The following is a 2,022-nucleotide window of genomic DNA, read 5'->3' on the forward strand; positions in this document are numbered from 1 at the left end:
CATCTCCCTGCACCAGTAATGTACTTTGTTCCATCCTAGATTTCACAGGCTAAACTGATTAGCAGCTCACCAGGAACTGTGAGAATTATTCAAAAGAACTAGAAGAGAGAAAACTCGATGTTGTGAGAAGGTCACATAAAGAACAATGAATTATACTTAGGAACTTTGCATCCTAGAGCTCATAAAATGAAAAAAAACTCCATTGCTTTTTCTCTCAGCTCAGTGAGGGGGATACTTTATCAAACATTTCTGAAAGTAAGACATCCTGCTGGCTTTATTTTATTAAACAAGGAATAAAACACATTGCTTTATTAGAGTTGTTTCAAGAATGCATCAAAGCTGTGGGCTCTCAAGACAGAAATCAAAGACTAAAAAAAAAATCGCATCTGCTGTATATTCCCCCAAAAAATATATTTGACTATAATTAATGTAGAATTGAAAGACAACTTGTAGAAATATGAAGAAATCACGTGCCAAAGTGATTATACATTTAACTTTCCCATAACCATAACATCATGATATCCTGGCCATGGAGAAGTTTATCTTCCTCATTATATAATGGTATGATAATTGTTGAGAAATAACATCTGGGAAATTTAAGAGCTCTCAATGAATCATATACTCAATCTGGGTGACTTTTCCCATTGGAATTTATCAGATTACACCTATATCTGAATCATCATTTTATTCAGCTGGGTTACAAATGTGACTTCAAGCAAGAATGATTTCAGTCCCATTTTCTCTCTGAAAAAGTAAAGAGTTCTGAGCAGGCAGCAGATCACACATCGGGCTGTGTGCTGCTCTGAAGACTTGGAGAGACTGCCAGATTGTGGGTCCCAGAGGCAAAATTAATTCACTCCCACAGCCATGGCTGCTCAAGTATTTCCCTGGCTTGTGGTCCTGCCTAGTCTCTTCCCAATCCCACCCTGGTGAGGCTGAAGCCATGTGTGGGGATTCTCATCTCCCATTTTGTTAGCTCATCTCTATCAGACATATTTTTCAATTTGGCATATAAAAAGATAATAAAATAAAAAGAGAAATAAGTAGTTCATACTTTTTACCTCTATCTCTGTAACCTTAGGACAGTGATCATGGTATGGTTATAAATACTCCATTAGTAGGCCAGGCAATGCAATGTCACAGTGAAGAATATATGCTCTGAATTTACACAGATCTTAGAATCTTCTCTGTCACTTACCAACTATATTTGAAGCAAGTACATTAACTGCTCTGTGCTCAGTTTCTTAACTTGCAAAATGAGGATAATGAGGGTACCTAATTTAAAGTGTTGAGAGTTAAATGAGAATGTTAGTAAAATTCTAAAAAGAATGTTTGCACACACTAAATGTTCAATAAATGTTAGTCATTATTATCATTATTATTAATTATTATGATAATGATAGTCAAAGGCTAATATATGAATATCAATATTACTAGGTAGGAAACTGAGGTTAAAAGTCTTCAAGAAAAAGTCAATGTGTCAAGGAGATGACTGAGAAAAAGAAATACAACAATAATGGGGACAGAAACAAAGAAAAAAGAAAGAAAAACTGTAAGAAAGGTCATAGGTTACATGGCTAAAAATATTCCAACTCAAAAATTTCAGTTACAGTTCTTAGATTTCCACTCTGAGGCCAAAACATACCAACCAACTCTTCGGATAGTCGATCCACTCAGTTATTCAGCACACAGCCACTTCATCTTGTTTAAGGCCATCAAAAGAATGAGCTAGAGGGATTAGAATCTAAAGTAGAGCACTGCCTCTTGTGAATTACATTCAGAGGAATAAGAACCATGGAAGAGTAGGCATGGATTGACAAGACCTTCTGGCCAAATGAAAACCCTGAGTAGAAAAAAAGAGTAACAGTACAAAAATAAATAAATAAAATTTTAAAGAAGTTGAAGAGAGTGAAAACAAAAACAAATAAGCAAACAAGGTCAGAGGGACAGGGCAAAAGATCACAGTGTCCCCCCTGGTATTCTGTTGTTTGAAGAATTGAAGACAAGCAGGTTGCATCAGAA

General features: G+C 35.7%; 1 annotated feature.

Moving 5' to 3' along the window:
- Positions 315-1,514: an enhancer, noted in NCBI's record as "P300/CBP strongly-dependent group 1 enhancer chr21:26701419-26702618 (GRCh37/hg19 assembly coordinates)". NCBI's record gives its function as "activates an origin of replication core promoter dependent on BRD2, BRD4, P300/CBP, MED14 and CDK7 cofactors, with strong dependence on P300/CBP, by STARR-seq in HCT116 cells {active_cell/tissue: HCT116}" and the evidence as "EXISTENCE:reporter gene assay evidence [ECO:0000049][PMID:35650434]".

The sequence above is a fragment of the Homo sapiens genome, chromosome 21, assembly GCF_000001405.40.
Source record: "Homo sapiens chromosome 21, GRCh38.p14 Primary Assembly".
In the NCBI taxonomy this organism is placed as follows: Eukaryota; Metazoa; Chordata; class Mammalia; order Primates; family Hominidae; genus Homo; species Homo sapiens.